Source organism: Homo sapiens, chromosome 16, assembly GCF_000001405.40.
Source record: "Homo sapiens chromosome 16, GRCh38.p14 Primary Assembly".
Lineage (NCBI taxonomy): Eukaryota > Metazoa > Chordata > Mammalia > Primates > Hominidae > Homo > Homo sapiens.
In genome coordinates, this window is record NC_000016.10 from 11,832,995 (window position 1) to 11,853,569 (window position 20,575).

Consider the following 20,575-nt stretch of genomic DNA (forward strand, 5'->3'; position numbering starts at 1 on the left):
CCATAACCAAATTTTATTCATGGTCTTTGATCAGTTGCACTAATTTCCTTAGGATTCAAGGATTGATGAAGGTTTCTCATGGCTCATAAAGTCCAAATTGGGAATCTTGGTTTTTGAATATTAATACTATCTGTAGGCAAGAAATACTGCAACAATTTCAGAAAATAAAATGTAGGGAGTGCAGAACTTTCAAATATTTAACTAAATGGGAAGATTTCCTGGCTCTTAAACACCCGTATACGGAAAGTAGAGCAACTTCTTGGTACCCTCATTTTAGTATTTCTCAAGGAGACTGAAATACAATGTGATTATATATATAATTTTTTGAGACGGAGTCTCGCTCTGTCGCCCAGGGTGGAGTGCAGTGGCGTGATCTCGGCTCACTGCAAGCTCCACCTCCCAGGTTCTCACCATTCTTCTGCCTCAGCCTCCCGAATAGCTGGGACTACAGGCACATGCCGCCACGCCCAGCTAATTTTTTGTATCTTTAGTACAGATCGAGCCAGGATGGTCTCGATCTCCTGACCTCGTGATCCACCTGCCTTGGCTTCTCAAAGTGCTGGGATTACAGGTGTAAGCCACCACGCCTGGACTTTTTTTTTTTTTTTTTGAGACGGATCCTGCCTCAGCCTCTTGAGTAGCTGGGATTACAGATGTCCACTACCGTATCGGCTAATTTTTGTATTTTTAGTAGAGACAAGGTTTTGCCATGTTGGGCAGGCTGGTTTTGAACTCCCAACCTCAGGTGATCTGCCCACTTCAGCCTCCCAAATTGCTGGGATTACAGGCGTGAGCCACCGTGCCCAGCCACAATGTGGTGTTTATTATACAGTTGGATTGACTTAAATACATTCATGGCATTTAAAATGAAATTTTAATTATTACGATTCCTAAAAAACAAATGAACTAAAACTCAATTACTTCCTTCAGAACAAAAACGTTACACTCAAATTTCTCCCATCAGATCTCATTTGGTTCATTAAATCTCCCTGGTGAAGAGGATGGATTCCAGAAACCCAGTGCCAACAATGAAATATCACCCTCATACTTGGCCCACGAGAACATCATATACCATAGTAGAGATTTCGCCCTCCTCTTGGCCCCCGGGGGAGACTACTGTTGGCTCCTAGCACTATCAGCTGGCTAGGAATGTGTATGCAACACTTCTGAAGCCTTGGAAACATAGTACAGAATGTACCCATTTTAGGATGATTCAACTTTATGATTTTTCAACTTTTTGATGGTATAAAAGCGATACATAATCAGTACAAACCATATACATACCACCATTTTTCAGTACAGTACTCATTACATGTGTCAACACTTTATTATAAGATAGGTTTTATGTTAGATGATAACACCAGCATCTTGCTCAATAAATTGAAGCCAGCTTTTTCAACAGAGAACATTATTAGAATGAAACTAGATGCAAGAACAGGAAAGTAAACACCTGTGTCATGTTCAACAAGACTGAACTACGGAGCAAAGAATCACACAGTGTTGCAAGATCTTGAACTGACTAGATGATAGGATTACAAAAACCACACAGCTATTGCTGGAAAATTATGTCATGCAGAGAACAGACTGGCACGATTACATATGTGGGTTTGTCCTACACAAACCAGACCTTTAAGTGAAACAAGTCTATCCAACCATCTTCCCATAAAACCTAGTTTCTATGGAAAACAATCAATTAAGCTAAACCCCCACATTTTAGATGTATATTCATTTATAGAAGCCCAAAAGGACAGTGGGGTTACAAATAATTTTATATTTTAGATGCTTTCATAATTTAAAAAGTTAACATTACAATTTGTGTTACTAAAATGCAAAAACAGGATTGGCATGCTGCCTCATGCCTGTAATCTGAACATTTTGGGAGGCTGAGGCAGGAGGACTTGAGCCCAGGAGTTCGAGCCCAGCCTAGGGAACACAGGGAAAACCCATCTCTACGCAAGACGTAAAAACTGGCCAGCTGTGATGGCATGCCCCTGTAGTCTGAGCTACTTGGGAGGCTGAGGTGGGAAGATCGCCTTGAGCCCAGGAAATTGAGGCTGGAGCTGTGATGACACTAGTGCACTCCAGCCTGGGGAACAGAGTAAGACCATCTCCCCCACTGCCCGCTACTCTCGCTACCAAAAAAACAGCAAAAGCAGGCTAGACTCCTCTAATTTCAGGGAGAGCTAGATGTTTTTTTTTTTCTCTTTTTTTCAGTTTTGCTCTGCCGCCCAGGCTGGAGTGCAGTGGTGTGATCTCAGCTCACTGCAACCTCCACCTCCCGGGTTAAAGTGATTCTCCTGCTTCAGCCTCCCAAGTAGCTGGGATTACAGGTGCCTCCCACCATGCCTGGCTAGTTTTTGTATTTTTAGTAGAGATGGGGTTTCACCATGTAAGCCAGGCTGGTCTCAGAACTCCTGGCCTCAAGTGATCTGCCAGCCTTGGCTGGGATTACAGATGTGAGCCACCACGCCCAGCCTCATTTTTTTTGAGACTGGGCCAGGGAAGGGGGCAGTGGGCCAGGGACTGTCTCTCTCTGTTGCCCAGGCTGGAGTGCAGGATCGTGATCATGGCCCATTGCAGCCTCTACCTCCCGGGTTCAAGCAATCCTCCCACCTCAGCCTCCCAAGAAGCTGGGACCACAGGCATGTTCCACCACACCCAGCTTATTTTTGGTAAAGATGGGGTTTTGCCATATTGCCCAGGATGGTCTCGAACTCCTGGGTTCAAGCAATCCACCCAGCGTTCCAAAGTGCTGGGATTATGTTGCGAAAAGCTGAGTGTTGGGAGAAGCTGAGGCAGGGCTTGCATTCTGACATAATGTAAAAGAGTCTTGGAATATGTCCAGGGTCAAGGGTCTAAAACCCCTTGTGGTCTTTGGAACACCAAGCTCTGTGCTAAAGGGTGGAAGGCTGCCCTGACGCACCATAATCTAAGCCCAGGGCATAAAATCCCTCGTGGCTTGGATAAAATCCAGGGCCTGTGGCTCTGGAATGTCTAGACTTGCTGGCTCCTTGCTCTCCCAGGATCGACTGTAACTTGAGTTAAAAGAACCTGCTCTCCATCATCTCAAGTAGCAGAGCAAATGCTAAACCATCACAGCTGTAAATCATGTGCTTAATGCAAGGTGCCCTTCTGACCTTCACATTCTCACCATCTGTTTCTTTGTTGGATTACCAATAAATAGTGTGGGCTCCCAGAGCTCACGGCCTTCACAGCCTCCACCATCCCGATGGTCTGCTGGTCCTACTTCTCTCTCAAACTGTCTTTTTCTCAATCCTTTGACTCCACTGGACTTTGTCACCCCCACGACCTGGTGTTGGGTCTGGTCACCCTAACAGGGTTACAGATGTAAGCCACTGCATCTAGCACCCACATTATCTTTGAAAGCAGTTGAGTCTTTGGCATGCAAGAACATTCCTGCACTGCAGTGAATCTGTGAACTTACTACTACGGATGCATACCAATTCACAACCAGTGAAAGGCCACGTACCTAAAAAGGTGTTTACTGCCTCAGAATATACTTGACAATTGTGGAAACGTTAGCAATCTACTCTTCCAAGATTCCTTGGAGTTGTCATACATAAGCAAATCCATATGGACTGAGGAATAAGGAGGAAGAGGATAAGGCTTATGGAAGATAAATCATGTTCTTGCCTCCGGTAGGTAGGATTCAATTTAGTCCCTGTATAAATGACTCCATGTTAATTTCCCTTCCCATATGGATGCTAATCCAGTGACTCATAAGCTTAGACCAACAAGCTCAGCATGAAAGCCAAGAAACTTCTGTTTCTCCTAAATTCCGTAGCCGACTCTCATACAGCGAGACCCTCACTGGGCCACTCTGGGAATGACTACAAATGAATATGATGGAGTCCATGTGAATAATGGTTGAGCAGGTGAGGAAAAGGGTCACATCACAGACCTCAAGTCAGACCCACTGATTTGGAAAGCCAACAGTATACTCAGAAGCAAAGCAATGTTATACTTTGTTTTTTCTGAGACAGAATCTCACACTGTCACCCAGGCTACAGCACAGTGGGGTGATCGTGGCTCACTGGAGCCTCAACCTCTTGCGCTCACTTGATCCTTCCACCTCAGCCTCGTGAGGAGCTGGGAGCACAGATGCATGCCACCATGCCACACTAATTTTTTTTTTTCTTTTGTAGAGATGGGGTTTTACCAAGTTGCCCAGGCTAGTCTCAAACTCCTGGCCTCAAGCAATCCTCTCACCTTGGCTACCTAAAGTGCTGAACAACCACAGAGAAGCACTCTATTTTTCCCTCTATTACATTAGCAAATACACAGAAGGACAATTTAGAAACAGATTATACCCAGGAACATATGTCAGGATTACTTATGGAGGTTTTATTATTTTTATTTATTTTTGAGACTGAGTCTTGCTCTGTCATCAGGCTGGAGTGCAGTGGCTCACTGCAACCTCCGCCTCCCAGGTTCAAGCAATTCTCCTGCCTCAGCCTCCCTAGTAGCTGGGATTACAGGTGTCCACCACCATGCCCAATTAATTTTTGTATTTTTGGTACAGACAGGGTTTCACCATGTTGGCCAGGATGGTCTCGATCTCGTTGACCTTGTGATCCGCCTGCCTCGGCCTCCCAAAGTGCTGGGATTACAGGCGTGAGCCACCGCCCCTGGACTACTTATGGAGGTTTTAAAAAATCTTTTAAGTCCAGGCCTGACGTTTAGAGAAGGTTACAAAGGCGGCCAGGATCTGAGTATTTCCAAAAAGCTCTGGAGGCAGCATTGAGGTTTCCTTCCAGTTGAATCACTGACTTTAGGTCGACTGGGGTACTTTGGGTTTTTTGGGCCATTTTTTGGGGGTGTGGGAAGCTTTTCTCACAGATTTACTAGGAGTGGTGAAAAACTTGGCCTCTGGCTTTTTTGGAGTCTGTCTCGCATCTTTTTTCCCCAGCGAAGGACTTTTTTCCTTCACTGCCTCTTCTTTGATTTTTGGCTTCTTCTCTGGGCTTTTCCCTGGGGTCTCAGACTCTGCAGCTTTTGGGGTCTCAGATGCTGGCAAAGCCTTTCTTTTCTTCCCACGAGGTGTGCTGGGATTAGGACTCTTTGCTGGAGACTTCTTTCCTGTGGCATGTTTTTGAATCTAAGAAAAAAAAAAGTAAGTTTAATATAGAAAAAGCCACAAAACCTGACACTCTAACTCCAGGAGTTACTGTTTTTATTTGTATTTATTTATTTTTCAGACTGAGTTTCGCTCTTGCTGCCCATGCTAGAGTGCAATGGCACAATCTCAGTTCACTGCAACCTCTGCCTCCCGAGTAGCTGGTATTATAGGTGTGTGCCACCACGCCCGGCTCATTTTTTGTATTTTTAGTAGAAACAGGGTTTCACCATGTTAGCCAGGCTGGTCTCGAACTCCTGACCTCAGGTGATCCACCTGCCTCGGCCTCCCAAAGTGCTAGGATTACAGGCGTGAGCCACTGTGCCCGGCCAAGTTACTGTTTTTCAGCGCATGGCCAAGTTACTGTTTTTATTAGTTAACCCCCAAAAGGTACACCTCAGTATGATGACAGAAATAAGCTGTATTCCACTATTAAGAATGAGGTATAGGTGAGGTGGCTCATGCCTGTAATCCCAGCACTATGGAAGGCTGAGGCAGGTGGATTACTTGAGGCCAGGAGTTCAAGAGTAGCCTGGCCAACATGGCAAAACCCCATCTCTACTAAAAATACAAAAATTAGCCAGGCATGTTGGCACACACCTGTAATCCCAGCTACTCAGGAGGCTGAGGCACGAGAATTGCTTGGGCACGAAAGGTGGAGGTTGCTGTGAGCCGAGATCATGCCACTGCACTCCATCCTGGGCAACAAAGTGAGACCTTGTCTCAAAAAAAAAAAACAAAAAAAAACTGTGAAGACCCAGAGGTCTTCCTGGTCCAATCAGAGGAAAACCACCTTTCCCTATGACTGAGGGGAGGGAATCCTGGAAGCACCATGAGGAGCACAGCAGAGACACATGGGAGCAAATCCTGAGTCTTCCAAATGTAGCTGCACATCCCTGGCACATGGTGTAGGGCAAGGGTTCCCAGATTCTCTGTGTAAAAGCCAACTGGTGGCTGAGTGCGGTGGTTCATGCCTGTAATCCCAGCACTTTGGGAGGACAAGGCGGGCGGATCACCTGAGGCCAGGAGTTCAAGACCAGCCTGGCCAACATGGCAAAACCCCGTCTCTACCAAAAACACAAAAATTAGCTGGGCATGGTAGTGCGCGCCTGTAATCCCAGCTACTCGGGAGGCTGAGGAAGGAGAATTGCTTGAACCAGGGAGGCGGAGGTTGCAGTGAGCTGAGATCATGCCACTGCACTCTAGCCTGGGTGACAGAGTGAGACTCCATCTTCAAAAAAAAGCAAAGCAAAAAAAAAAAAAAAAGCCAACCGGTTGGGACTAGGTGTGGTGGCTCACACTTGTAATCCCAGCACTTTGGGAGGCCAAGGTGGGAAGACTGTTTTGACCCCCGGAGTGTAAGACCGGTCTGGGCAATATAGCAAGATCCCATCTAAAAAAAAAAAAAAAAAAAAGGTACAATAAATCATGATATGATAACCACCTTCACAGTTCTTTGGGTTCACTCTAGTATTTTTCATCATTTATTGCTCAGCACAGTACCTGCCTGACACAGTAGCCACTGAACCAATCCATTATGAACAGTAAATATTAAAACAATACCTCTACTTTTTCATTAGCTGGAGTCTTCTTTCCTATTGGTACCAGCTGTGGGATTTCGTCTTCGGATTCATTTGTTGCTTTAACTTGGGCTTTTCCTCTGCCACGTTTTTTCTTCCCATGCTCTGGGGTCTGTTCCTTCTTTGATTCAGGTTTCTTCACTGTAGTATCACCACTTTCAGGTGCCACATCATCTTTACTAAGAACTGATGCAGTCTTCCTAGCCTGCTGCCTCTTCTTCTTCCTCTCCTTTTGTTTTTCAAAATTTCTTTCTCTTCGTTTTCTCCTTGCCTCCTACCAAAAAACACCATACAAACATTTTAGCAGGAACAGTTCTGTTGGTTAACAAACGGCATAGATGTACCACGTGCAGTTTTGATTATCCATAAGCCCCTAAATGGACCTCGATCTATACAGAGAACAAACTCCCTAACCAGCACTGGAACCTCAACCGCAGTTTTTGACTCACAGCCAAACATGCATTTTATGCAGTAAATTATATACCGGCATTTCAGAATCTGACTATCTAAAGTATACAGTTAAGAGACTTTTGTGAAACACAGTATGGTTTAGAGTGTAAAGAATAATACTCAGCTGGGCGCGGTGGCTCACGCCTGTAATCACAGCACTCAGGGAGGCTGAGGCAGGAGGATCACTTGAGGTCAGGACTTCGAGATCAGCCTGGTAAACATGGTGAAACCCCATCTCTATTAAAACCACAAAAATTAGCTGGGCATGGTGATACGTGCCTGTAGTTCCAACTACTCAGGAGGGTGAGGCACAGAGAATCATTTGAACCTGGAAGGCGGGGGGTTGTAGTGAGCTGAGATCATGCCACTGCACTTCAGCCTGGGCGACAGAGTGAAACTCTGTCTCAAAAACAAAATTAAAAATTCATTGGACACAATTAACATGGCTAAAGAGAGAAACACTAGGAGATCAGTCTAACAAATAGCAAAAAATTAAATTTTCTCTCCTTCCGAAAGCTTCTTTTGCTAGAGTACGAGTAATACTGAAAACCTACAAACCAAGCTCAGGAGGTATCTGTGAGCATAACCTCCGACATCCAAATACGTGCACATTAGGTGAACTGGTGTGTTGAAGTTATCCCAGTCCCAGTCCCAACGAATGTAGGTGTATGAGTTTGTCCTGTGATGAAACAGCGCCTTTTCTAGGGTTGGCTCTTGCCTGTTACCCTTTTCCCTGAGCTATCAGGATTAAACTCCAGCCACCTACAACCGTGGATGGGAATAACTGGGTAAATAATTATGTCAATTCCTTTTATTACTGTTTCAAATGTATATATAGCTCACATTTATTTCAATGTTTAATATTTTAAATGTTTTGGTCTTTATTTAGAAGTATGGTGATGTTTCTATGACCGGAAATATGTGGTAGGAACTTAACTCAGGCCCCCTCAAAAGCCAGTTAATCCAGGCCAGGCATAGTAGCTCATGCCTGTAATCCCAGCACTTTGGGAGCCCAAGGCAGGCGGATCGCTTGAGCTCAAGAATTCAAGATCAGCCTGGGAAACAGGGCGACCATGTGTGTACAAAAAATAATTTAAAAATTAGCTGGGCATGGTGAAGCATGCCTGCAGTGCCAGCTACTCGGGAGGCTGAAACAGGATTGCTTGAGCTCAGGAGGTCAAGGCTGCCGTGAGCCTTGATCACGTCACTGTGCTCCAGCCTGGGGGACAGAGTGAGACCCTGTCTCTCTAAAAAAACCCAGCAAGCACTGGATCTAACAAAAATAAAAAAAAAATCCAATTTATCAATAAATACAAGATATTTCTATCTTAATGCGCATTACTAACATCAACTACCTCATGTAAAGTGACAAAAGCATACCCATTTTACCTCATGTAAAGTGACAAAAGCACAACCACCACAAAACCAGAAGATAACTGAAAAGTCGGGCAGCGATGATGGTCTACTTCTCTCCTAGTGACTGAATTTACACCCTTCATTATTCATTCTGTAAGTATTTAAAATTCTACTAACTTTTTTCTTCTTATTAAGCAAAGATCTTTTGGTGGCTTCATCCCAATTGCTGACAAACGAGGAAAAGATGGGAAGTGCAGCCGATTTCTCAGTTTTCACAAACAGGAGTTTCACGCTCTCCCACTTCTGAAACAAAGAAAAGAGTAACATCGTCTACATATACTTTGTTTCTTTTAAATGAACAATCAATTGATGCACCTGTAATACTGTACCTCTGGCAATTTTTCTGAAAGTCCTTTGGTGACAGCAACAATGTTTTCAATGATGTGCTCAATTTGCATTCCAACGTGACCAATACGTATAGCACTGAAATTTAATATAGTATTAGACAAGATTTTAAAAAACCATTTTTCAAAATAAACCAGGCAGGTATATGAGAAATATAAATACATAATCCTCAAGTTTTTCTTTTTCTTTTAAAAAGGTAGAAATATTAATCCCGGGCAACATGGCAAAATCCTGTCTCTACCACACTAACAAAAATTAACTGGGCATGGTGGTACATGCCTGTAATCCCAGTTACTCAGGAGGCTGAGGCAGAAAAATCACCTGAGCCCAGGAGCTCAAGGCTACATACAGTGAGCCCAGATCTGGCGACTGCACTCCAGCCTGGGTAACAGGGAAAAACACAGTCTGAAAAAAAAAACAAAACAAAAAAACAAACAAAAAAATCCCATTAAAATCTTTAGGTTCTAAATATATTTTATTTCATTTTTGAGACAGGGTTTTCCTGTCGCCCAGGCTGAAATGCAGTGGCACAATCAACGTACTGGGCTTAAGTAATCCTTCCAACTCAGCCTCCGGAGTAGCTGGGACTACAGGTCACCCAGCTGATTTTTGTATTTTTTGTAGAGATGGGTTCTCACTCCTGAGCTCAAGTGATCCACCAGGCTGGTATGGAACTCCTGGGCTCAAGTGATCCTCCTGCCTCAACCTCCCAAAGTGCTGGGATTATACACATGAGTCACCACACCCAGCCTAAATATGTTTTAAAGGAAGATTATCATCTTTCATGTACTAGAAATTCCTTCTACCTAAAGTAAAATGTCACATCATGAAGGGGTGACTTTTTTTTTTTTTGAGATGGAGTTTGCTCTGTCGCCCAGGCTGAAGTGCAGTGACGTGATCTCGGCCCACTGCAACCTTCGCCTCCTGGGTTCAAGCAATTCTCCTGCCTCAGCCTCCCTAGTAGCTGAGATTACAGGCGCATGCCACCACGCCCAGCTAATTTTTTTTTTTTTTTTTTGAGATGCAGTTTCACTCGTTGCCCAGGCTGGAGTGCAATGGCGTGATCTTGGCTCACTGCAACCCCCACCTCCTGGGTTCAAGCGATTCTCCTGCCTCAGCCTCCCGAGTAGCTGGGATTACAGGAATGCGCCACCACGCCCGGCTAATTTTTTGTATTTTTTTTTTTTTTTTTAGTAGAGACGGGGTTTCTCCATGTTGGTCAGGCTGGTCTCAAACTCCCGACCTCAGGTGATCCGCCTGCCTCGGCCTCTCAAAGTGCTGGGATTACAGGCGTGAACCACTGCGCCCGGCCTAATTTGTGTATTTTTAGTAGAGATGGGGTTTCACTGTGTTGGCCAGACTGGTCTCAAACACCTGCCCTCAACTGATCCACCTGCCACGGTCTCCCAAAGTGCTGGGATTACAAGCGTGAGCCACCATGCCCAGCCGAGGCAGTGATTAAAGAGCTGGTAGCACCTGACTGTGAGGTTAGGCGCATTGGGAGGCAGGGCCAGAGGAGGTTCTACCTTTATCTTAGACAACCCCATGTCGCTGAGTCCGCCTTCAAGCTGTTCTAAAGGGACCTACCTCCAGGAGGGTCACCTGCTCTCTCTATAGTTCTACTGCTCTACCCAGCCGCCATGTTCAAGAATAAATAGTTCTGTGGCTGGGCGTGGTGGCTCACGCCTGTAATCCCAGCACGTTGGGAGGCCAAGGTGGGCAGATCACGAGGTCAGGAGACCGAGACCATCCTGGTTAACATGGTAAAACACCGTCTCTACTAAAAAAATACAAAAAAATTAGCTGGGCATTGTGGTGGGCGCCTATAGTCCCAGCTACTTGGGAGGCTGAGGCAGAAGAATGGTGTGAACCCGGCAGGCGGAGCTTGCAGTGAGCTGAGATCAAGCCACTGCACTCTAGCCTGGGCGACAGAGCAAGAACTCTGTCTCAAAAAAAAAAAAAAAAAAAAAAAAGAGTAAATAGTTCTTGTCCCTGGTGGAATAGTGTCTTTCAGCTACGAGCAAGACCATCCCTTCAGGTGAAACAGAGTGCAGGCAGAAGCCCAGTGGGAAGCCTGGAGGGCTCAGCGCTGGGGCCAGAAGGAAGTGAGCCAGAAGGAAGGCTCACTGTCGGCACAGTGTCTGCGGAATGAGGAATGAGACGGACTGTTGCTCCTCTCTCTCTTCAGCCAAAGACTGGGCACTGCCCACTCCCTGTGCCTGTCACCACCTGCCTGCAAGCACACCTGAGCATCCCAGATGGAAAGATGGTGGGGGGGAAGAAGGGAGAGGAACAGAAGTGGAAGAGGAAAATAAATTCTTTTGCTGGGGAAAGGTAAGAGAGGAAATAAAGAATGATTTCTTTTTTTCTCAATTGTCTGCAACTTTCTTTAAGCTGTTGCTTTTGCCTTGGAAAATCCCCAGTGGCAGGAGACTGCTGCTCCTTTACCTGCCTTCATGGTACCATCTTCTTCTCCCAGATACTCATGGGTCCCATAAACAAGGCCTGAACTTCTAGCCAACCACTTCCATGAGCCACTACTTTGACATTAGCCTTTAACCAAAGGGGTAGGGGTCTAGGCTCCGTGACCAACTCTTCTAGGCTACTTCATTACACCTGATGAAGGGATTCCCAGCAGCAGGCTAAAGACAACACCAGAGACCACCTGTCCTGCCCACCAGTACCCTGCTCTGCTCTACCTGGAGACACTCCCCTGGGGTCAGGCCTCCCTGGTGAGCAGAGGCAAGAAGTCTGTGTTGTTTTCTGCCGACTGTGTCCACTGGGTCTGCACGGCTCCTGGGGAATCTCTGGGTGGAAGGGCAGTGGCCTACAGCTCTGCCTTACTGGCAGCTAGCCATCTCCACACCGCAGTCAGCAAGTGCAGTACTTCATAAAATGTATTTTCAATACATTTAAAACCTGCCCTACCTCCCCAAGCTGATACACTGCCAATAATACAAACTTAAGTCACTTCTCAGCCTAATAAAATAGCCTGAACCGCATCCTTTGCTCAGCCAGAGGTTGGAAGCAATCACTGCCCTAAAACATCTGTTCTAGTAGGTAAGACTAGGTGTGGGGGCTCCGCCTAGCTCAGTATCCAGGGTAAGGTTAAACCAATATGACAACACACACACCAAATAGGCAGATGAACAGGATAAGTGCTGAATTCATTTAATAGGAAGTTAAACCAAGAATGAGGTGGATCTTCACGTTAAGGGGTAATATGGTGCTTTTAAAGGACAATCTGAGGCCAGGTGTGGTGGGTCACGCCTATAATCTCAACACTTTTGGAGGCCAGGACAGGAGGACCGGTTTTGTCTAGGGGTTCAAGTCTAGATGGGGCAAAATAGTGAGACCCCGCCGCTACAAAACATTGAAAAATTAGCCAGGTATGGTGATGTGTGTCTGTAGTCCCAGCTACTCAGGAGGCTGAGGTGGAAGGATTGCTTGAGCCAAGGAGTTGGAGGTTGCAGTGAACTGTGACTGCACCACTGAGTGCAGTGGCACGATAAAGGACAAGCTCAAAGCCTAGAACTAGTCATGTTCTCCAAGCATTCATCTTACTCTCCTTGCTTTTCTTAGTATCTGGAGCTGCCCCGTCCAATGCAGTGACCATCAGCCACTAGCCACATGTGCCTATTTTAAATTAACTAAAAATTCAGCTTCTAACACAGTAGCCACATTTCAAGTGCTCAATAGCTACATACAAATAGTGCCTACTGTATGAGACAGCACAGATGCAGGCCATTTCCATCACAGTAGAAAGTGCTATCAGACAACATTGTTCTAGAGAACTGAACTTTTTTTTTTTTTCATTTAAAGACAGTCTTGCTCTGTCATTCAGACTGGAGAACAGTGACAAGAACATGGCTCACTGCAGTCTTGACCTTCTAGGCTCAAGTGATCCTCCTGCCACAGCCTCCTGTGTAGCTGGGAGCACAGGGATGCACCACCACACCTGACTAATGTTCTTGATTTTTCTGTAATTGGCTGGGGGAGAGGGTCTCATTATGTTGCCCAAGCTGGTCTTGCACTCCTGGGCTCAAGCGATCCTCCTGCCTAGGCCTCCCAAAGTGCTGGGATTACAGGCATAAGCCACTGCACCTGACCCGAGAATTGATCACTTCTGAGGAATAGATTTTAGTTTTAAAAAAGGATCTGGAGCCATTAACAAAATCTTTTTAAAAAGGCCAGGTGCAGTGGCTCACGCCTGTAATCCCAGCACTTTGGGAGGCCAAGGCGGGCGGATCATGAGGTCAGGAGATCGAGATCATCCTGGCTAACTCGGTGAAACCCTGTCTCTACTAAAAATACAAAAAGAAATTAGCCGGGCGTGGTGGCAGGCGCCTGTAGTCCCAGCTACTCGGGAGGCTGAGGCAGGAGAATGGCGTGAACCCAGGAGGCGGAGCTTGCAGTGAGTCGAGATGGTGCCACTGCACTCCAGCCTGGCAGACAGAGTAAGACTCCATCTCAAAAAAAAAAAACAAAAACAAAAAACAAAACAAAACGAATAAGTATATATAAAATCATTGTCAAATACAAGATTAAAAGAGGCACACATGAATGCCTTTTACCTACCTGCAAGAACCACTTTTAGAAATGTTTAAGACTGTTCCACCTATACAGTCATTGATCTCTCTTGATAAATTCTTGGACAGAAGGTTTACAGATACTGGAACTCTACAAAATAAACACACAGGCATTCAGAACACAATGCATACACACCTAGAAGCTTCATGCTGCTAAAGTCCAGTCATTACTAAGAAACTTACTTCTTTCTTTGATAGAAATGTCTCCCAATGAGTGAGGGTAAGAGCCGCCTAATTCTGGCATCAGTAAGGAAGAAATCAAAACTGCTCAGAAGGCGGAGCTTGGCTTCATAGGATTTATATTCCTTCTTTAGAGTTTGGAGGGAGATAATCTAGGAAGTATAGAGAAGAATAAAAACAAGAAGTTAGGAATCTAAACAAGGAGAAGAAATACTTAGGCAACAATTTGGATTTGGATTTAAAAATGTCCTAGAGCCATGCCTCTATACTTTAATGAACACTTGAGGGCCTAAAATGTGCCAGGCACTACGCTACATGCTGGGAACACTGAGACAAATGAGAAAAGACCCCAGCTAAAGCAACTTAGATCTAGGTGGGCAACATATATATATTATTATACATATGTTGCTGTATGTGCTTACGCCTGTAATACTAGCCCTTTGGGAGGCCGAGGTGGGTGGATCACCTGAGCTCAGGAATTCAAGACCAGCCTGGCCAACATGGTGAAACCTCGTCTCTATAAAAATATAAAAATTAGCCGGGCATGATGGCAGGTGCCTGTAATCCCAGCTATTCGGTAGGCTGAGGTGGGAGAATAGCTTGAACCTGGGAGGTGGAGGTTGCAGTGAGCCGAGGTCCTGCCATTGAATTCCAGCCTGGGCGACAGAGCGAGACTCCAAACAAACAAAAAAACTTAGATACCTTAGATCCAGAGGGTAATAAAGACAAGTACACCAACTACAAAACAGCAAATCAGAGAAAAACAAGATGCTGTGGAAGTACAGAGGAATGACACGAGCCACCTCTTTTATAATTTGCAAGATATAAAAGCTACTGATGTACACGCCACCACAAATTAAATTAAAAAGAGAAAAGTAGAAGAAAAATACTAGGAAATATAGCAATGTATTTGTGATACCATTTCGCCTGAATTAAATCCTCTAAATAACTTGAAAATATTAACCAGGCTTCCTACCTGAGAAACGGTTTTAATTCCATGCTTGTTTAAAAGCTTTCTATAAAACTGTTCTGTCTTTTCAGGAGTTGAATTGGGTTCATCCTTCGTAAATAAACAGATATCTTCTGAATCTGATCGAATACTATGAGGCAAGGTCCTACAAAATACGTGAAAAGAAACCGAGGAAAGCATTATTACACACATTATGCATGTTTGTATCACACAGAATACGCGATAAACTTAGTGTTATTTAAATAACTTTTAGTCATGCTAGTTAAGCAAATAATGCACCAAGAACAACACTTAAAAATACATTTCATGGCCGGTAGTAGTGGCTCAAGCCTGTAATCCCACACTTTAGGGAGGCCAAGGCAGATGGATCACCTGAGGTCAGGAGTTCAAGACCAGCCTGGCCAACATGGTGAAACCCTGTTTCTACTAAAATTATAAAAAATTAGCCAGGCACGGTGGTAGGTGCCTGTAATCCCAGCTACTTGAGAGTCTGAGGCAGGATAATCGCTTCAACCCGGAAGGTGGAGGTTGCAGTGAGCCAAGATCGCACCACTGGACTCCAGCCTGGGTAACAAGAGGCAAACTCCGTCTCAAAACACAAAAACAAAAAACAAAACTCACTTTCAATGGCAAGTAAATCACAAAAACACACAGGCCCAAATATCAATTAACACTTGGGATACAACAAGAATTAAAATATACTTAAAGACTTCCAAATGCTTGCATATATAATTATTATACATATGTTGCTGTATGTGCACACGTACTGTAATGCGCTATAAAAACCTAGCTTAATCAGGACAAGCCTGGTTCAGAATTTTACCTTCTTTAAAACTCTTAGCTCCATAAACATAATAACTCTTTCTTCTTTTCCTTTTTTTGAGACAGGGTTTTGCTCAGTACCCAAGGCTGCAGTGCAGTGGTGTGATCATAGCTCACGATAGCCTCCAGCATAGCTGAGACTCCAGGCACGTACCAGTTGGGTGTAGGCCCAGCTAATTTTTGTATTTTTCGTAGAGACAGGGTTTCGCCACATAGCCTGGGCTGGTCTTGAATTTGTGGGCTCAAGCAATCCACCTGCCTCAGCCTCCCAAACTGCTGAGATTACAGTGTGAGCCACCACACTCAGCCAACATAACTTTTTTTTTTTTTTTTGAGATGGGAGTCTCACTGTCGCCCAGGCTGGAGTCTCTGCAACCTCTGCCTCCTGGGTTCAAATGATTCTTGCACTTCAGCCTCCCAAACAGCTGGGATTACAGACGCCCACCATCATGTCTGGCTAATTTTTGTATTTTTAGGAGACATGGGATTTCGCCATGTTGGGTCAGGATGATCTCAAACTCCCAGGCCTCAAATGATCCACCCACCTCACCTCCCAAAGTGCTGAGATTACAGGGATGAGTCACCATGCCCAGCATAACATAACTTTTAAGAATTGAAACAGCCCAGGCATGGAGGCTCATGCCTGTAATCCCAACACTTTGGGAGACTGAGAGGGAGGACTGCTTGAGCCTGAGTTCGAGACCAGCCTGGAGAACACAGTGAAACCTCATCTCCACAAAGATTTCAAAATTAGCTAGGCATGGTGGTGTGCACCTGTAGTCCCAGCTACTTGGAAGGCTGAGGTGGGAGGATCACTTGAGTCAGGTCAGGGAGGTTGAGGTTGCAGTGAACACAGATCTCACTATTGTACTCCAGCTGGGCAACAGCGCAAGATCTCGTCTCTTAAAAAAAAAAAAAAAAGGAGAGATAAAAGAATCGAAACCAAAAACATGGACTAAACCAAGAGGGACCAGCAAACACAATTATGCCACATCTTACAGAAAATAAAATACAAGGGTTTAACTCATTTCTTATGCTTACAACCTATGTTCTGAAGAAGCATTCTGTATAATCACCATGGATTTCTTTTCCATAGACAGAAATTCACTGCAGTTTTTAATAGTCTCTGTACAAAGGAATAAATTGTAGCCCCAAAGAATTTTTGCTTGACATGGAAAGATAACAGTTTCTAATAAAAAAATAAAATAAAATAAAGCTGTTTAACTTATTCCACCTTTATTCTTTCGAACACCACGTTTTCGATTCAACAGACCTGATTACGTTAGCTGTCCACCAAGCTCTAAGAAAACTGGTGAAATTTCTAGAAAATTTTAGCACATCTGAATTTCTACGGTTCTTTTATTTTTTATTATTTTTTATTTTTTTGAGACAGAGTCTTGCTCTGTCGCCTAGGCTGGAGTGCAATGGAGACATCTCCGCTCACTGCCACTCTCCTGCCTCAGCCTCCCGAGTAGCTGAGATTACAGGCACCCGCCATCATGCCTGGCTAATTTTTGTATTTTTGGAGAGACAGGGTTTTACCATGTTGGCCAGGCTGGTTTTGAACTCCCGACCTCAGGTGATCCGTCCACCTCGGCCTCCCAAAGTGCTGGGATTACAGGTGTGAGCCACCACATCAAGCCTCTATGGTTCTTTTGGACATAGTTGTTTTACTTCACGTCAGATTTTTATTATAAGTTTGCAAAGTTTCCATTAGTAACCATGATGCAATTGTTCGAGTTACAAAGAATAAACACACAGATAAAAACAGCAAAGGTAGAAAATCACAACTTACAATCTGACCCTCAGTTCTTTACTTGGAATTTTCCATAATACCACCATTAAAAATAAACTTTCATTCTCATTCAAAAGCAACCCATAATTGTTTTTCCTGGACTTGCAATGCGTCAAGAGAGCGTCCACTGCCTTTCTAACCTGCAAAGTGGAAATTAGACAAATAAGTGAAATGTTTTCACAATAACTTACACAAATAAATGAAATGTTCTCAATCTAATTTAGCATTTGCCCCCTCCCACACCTTCTATTTTTTCCCTTCCAACTTCTATTTCAAGGGGTAACCTCCATAACCGTATCTATTAGGATCCTGCAGTTTATATTCACAGAAATCTAAGAATCCATCAAACATGCCTAAGTACCCACTTCCAGTACTGTGTGCAGAAGGGCACCTCTTCTACTTAAAGAGATTGGGCTAGAGGGAAACGTGCCCCTCCTGCCCTCAATGATGAAAGCAGTAATCCCAGGAAAAACGCAAAGCAAAATGCATTTAGCATTTACTGAGAACTCCTGGCAATTCTCCTGCCTCAGCTTCCCGAGTAGCTGAGATTACAGGCGCCCGCCACCACGCCCACCTAATTTTTGTATTTTTAGTAGAGACGGGGTTTCACCATGTTGGCCAGGCTGGTATCGAACTCCTGACCTCAGGTGATCCACCCGCCTCGGCCTCCAAAAGTGCTGGGATTACAGGCGTGAGCCACCGCGCCCGGCCTACTGAGCACCTTCTTACCATGTACCAGGCCAAAGCGCTTTACACTCATTACCTCTCCCGATCCTGGATAACGGGGAGCCGAAGGGCCCACTTTAAATAACGGGTAACAGACCTGCAAAACTAAGCGATTCGGTCAAGCGCTAATGATAGGGAAGCTAAGCCAGGTCGCCAGGTCTATCTCATCTAGCTCCACAGCACACTTGCAACCCAATTCACTAGCGCCAGGCCGCAGGACCAGGGAAAGCAGGCGCCCACCCACGTGTGTAAAGGGGAGAGACAGCTGAGGCACACGGCCCGCCAGCGACCGTCCCACAGCCCCGGGGAAGTCCGCCGAGCACGCACTCGGGTTCCGGCACCCTGCGCCTCACGAGGTAACCGCCACACTGCTTCCAAGCCACCCTCCCCAGGAACCACTCACCTGTTCTTTATCCAGCTGCTTCCGTGCTGTCGGGGCCGCTGGAGTCGAGGTGGAGGTTCCAGTAGCGGCTGCAGAAGACAGCGAGGCCGAGGCCGAATCCTCCATCTTGTTTCCACCTCGTGAAGAGGCGCGTGTGCAACCCCACTGCTGGCTTCTGGTGCGCACGCGCGAGCAAGCCCGGCCCCGGAAGCGAGGGGGCGGGAACCGAGCCTCTGTGCGTCATTTCCGGGAGAGCGTGGGGTTTCGCTCTCCGGGGCAGTGGCTGCTGTCAGAATCCCTTCTTTGAGGAGGCACCTGCTCTTCCGCTTTTCTCCAGCTTTCCATGAGCTGTGGGGAGTAGCTTGGGTGTCCTCTCACTCTTACTAGATAGAAATCAAGAAAGCGCCTTGAGGCGAGAGAAGAGTCCCGTCAGGAGGCCCAGTGGGGTCCTCCACACTCCACGGTCCCCGCCTCCGGGAAGGCCGCGCGTGGCATGGGCAGAGCGCGGAATCCTGGCTCCACTGCCCACCTGCCCGTTGACTTTAGGCGACGCCAACCCCAGGCTGGTGAGGAGTCCCTGAAATATAAGGCACGGGAGCCACCCGGAGCCACCCGACCTGCCACGTTAAGCAGCATGAGGGACCGAAAGATGAGTCTGGGCCAGTCTCTTAGGAGCTTCTGGTCTCGCAGAGAGGCGGGAGGTAAGATCCTGTACAAATAAGCGTGGCTGGTCGTGCGCGTGGCTGGCGTCTGGAATCCCAGCGCTCTGGGAGGCCGAGGCGGAGGGATTCCAGGAGTTGGAGACCAGTCCGTGCATATACGAGACTCCGTCTCTCCAAAAATTATAAACATTAGCCGGCGTGGTGGTGCGCGCCTGTAGTCCCGGCTACTTGGGAGGCGGAGGATGGAGGATCTTGAGGAATTCGAGGCTCGGTGAGTTCTGATCCGCGCCACTGCACTCCAGCGTAGGCAGTAGAGTGAGACCTTGTCGCTAAACAAACAGGTTAGGAGTGGAGGCTGGATAACTGACAAATGGAATACCTTAGAACAGGGGAGTCCAATCTTTTGGCTTCCGTGGGCCACACTGGAAGAAGAATTGCCTGGGCCCATATATAAAACTAATACTAATGATAGCCGACGAGCTTTAAAAAAAAAATCTAAAAAAAATCTCGTAATGCTTTAAGGAAGTTTACGAATTCGTGTTGGGCTGTATTCAAAGCCTGGCCTCCAGGGCCGCACGCGGCCCTTGGGTAGGACAGGTTTGCTTTGTAATGTCTTCCTCCCACTCCACCCGCCTCCCCAGAGGTACCCTTACCAGTGTCTCCTGGAACCTTCCAGAGATGTTCTAGGCATGTTTAGGAGATACTTCTCCTTTCTCTTGTTGGATGGGTTTAATTAATTTTTTTCCTTTTTTTTTTTTTTTTTTTTGTAATGGAGTCTCGCTCTGTCGCACAGGCTGGAGTGCAGTGGCACGATCTGGGCTCACTGTATCCTTCGCTTCCCGGGTTCAAGCAGTTCTCTGCCTCAGCCTCCCGAGTAACTAGGATTACAGGCACGCGCCACAACGCCCGGCTAATTTTTGTATTTTTAGTAAAGATGGGGTTTCACCATCCTGGCCAGGCTGGTCTTGAACTCCTGGACTTCATGATCCACCTGCCTCGGCCTCCCAAAGTGCTAGGATTATAGGCGTGAACCACCACGGCCAATTTTTTTTTAAAGAGGGAGTCTTGCCCTGACGCCCAGGCTGGAGTGCAGTGATCTTGTCTCACTGCAGTCTCTCCCTTTCGGGTTCAAGCAGTTCTCCTGTCTCAGCCTCCCGAGTAGCTGAAACTACAGGCGGACGCCACCATGCCCGGCTACTTTTTTTTTTTTTTTTGAGACAGAGTTTCGCTCTTGTTGCCCAGGCTGGAGTGCAATGGCGAGATCTCAGCCCACCGCAACCTCCGCCTCCTGAGCTCAAGCTATTCTCCTGCCTCAGCCTCCCCAGTAGCTGAGATTACGGGTATGCACCACCATGCCTGGCTAATTTTTTTTTTTTTTTTTTTTGAGACGGAGTCTTGCTCTGTCGCCCAGGCTGGAGTGCAGTGGCGCGATCTTGGCTCACTGCAAGCTTCGCCTCCTGGGTTCACGCCATTCTCCTGCCTCAGCCTCCCGAGTAGCTGGGACTACAGGCGCCCGCCACC

At 46.1% G+C, this 20,575-nt stretch overlaps 1 protein-coding gene across 1 annotated transcript, besides 6 other annotated features; it reads right to left on the reverse strand.

Moving 5' to 3' along the window:
• Window positions 1-855: 855 nt before the first annotated feature.
• On the reverse strand, window positions 856-18,548 carry RSL1D1 (ribosomal L1 domain containing 1). The gene is made up of 9 exons (NM_015659.3): window positions 18,414-18,548; window positions 17,285-17,424; window positions 14,674-14,812; window positions 13,701-13,849; window positions 13,507-13,608; window positions 8,913-9,006; window positions 8,701-8,826; window positions 6,701-6,991; window positions 856-5,119 (listed from the first exon to the last, which is right to left on the reverse strand). Exons 1-9 carry the CDS (start codon window positions 18,516-18,518, stop codon window positions 4,793-4,795), a joined length of 1,473 nt encoding a protein of 490 aa, NP_056474.2. The 5' UTR covers window positions 18,519-18,548; the 3' UTR covers window positions 856-4,792.
• Window positions 5,443-5,628: a silencer, noted in NCBI's record as "fragment chr16:11932294-11932479 (GRCh37/hg19 assembly coordinates)". NCBI's record gives its function as "represses an EF-1alpha promoter that drives an FKBP-Casp9 reporter gene in an ReSE screen in K562 erythroleukemia cells {active_cell/tissue: K562}" and the evidence as "EXISTENCE:reporter gene assay evidence [ECO:0000049][PMID:32094911]".
• Window positions 17,710-18,909: an enhancer, noted in NCBI's record as "BRD4-independent group 4 enhancer chr16:11944561-11945760 (GRCh37/hg19 assembly coordinates)". NCBI's record gives its function as "activates an origin of replication core promoter dependent on BRD2, P300/CBP, MED14 and CDK7 cofactors, and independent of BRD4, by STARR-seq in HCT116 cells {active_cell/tissue: HCT116}" and the evidence as "EXISTENCE:reporter gene assay evidence [ECO:0000049][PMID:35650434]".
• Window positions 17,710-19,216: a biological region, named in NCBI's record as "BRD4-independent group 4 enhancer GRCh37_chr16:11944561-11945760".
• Window positions 18,478-18,664: a silencer, noted in NCBI's record as "fragment chr16:11945329-11945515 (GRCh37/hg19 assembly coordinates)". NCBI's record gives its function as "represses an EF-1alpha promoter that drives an FKBP-Casp9 reporter gene in an ReSE screen in K562 erythroleukemia cells {active_cell/tissue: K562}" and the evidence as "EXISTENCE:reporter gene assay evidence [ECO:0000049][PMID:32094911]".
• Window positions 18,682-19,216: an enhancer, noted in NCBI's record as "NANOG-H3K27ac-H3K4me1 hESC enhancer chr16:11945533-11946067 (GRCh37/hg19 assembly coordinates)". NCBI's record gives its function as "activates a minimal SCP1, AML or CMV promoter by ChIP-STARR-seq in primed H9 embryonic stem cells {active_cell/tissue: H9 hESC(primed)}" and the evidence as "EXISTENCE:reporter gene assay evidence [ECO:0000049][PMID:30033119]".
• Window positions 19,217-19,750: an enhancer, noted in NCBI's record as "H3K27ac-H3K4me1 hESC enhancer chr16:11946068-11946601 (GRCh37/hg19 assembly coordinates)". NCBI's record gives its function as "activates a minimal SCP1, AML or CMV promoter by ChIP-STARR-seq in primed H9 embryonic stem cells {active_cell/tissue: H9 hESC(primed)}" and the evidence as "EXISTENCE:reporter gene assay evidence [ECO:0000049][PMID:30033119]".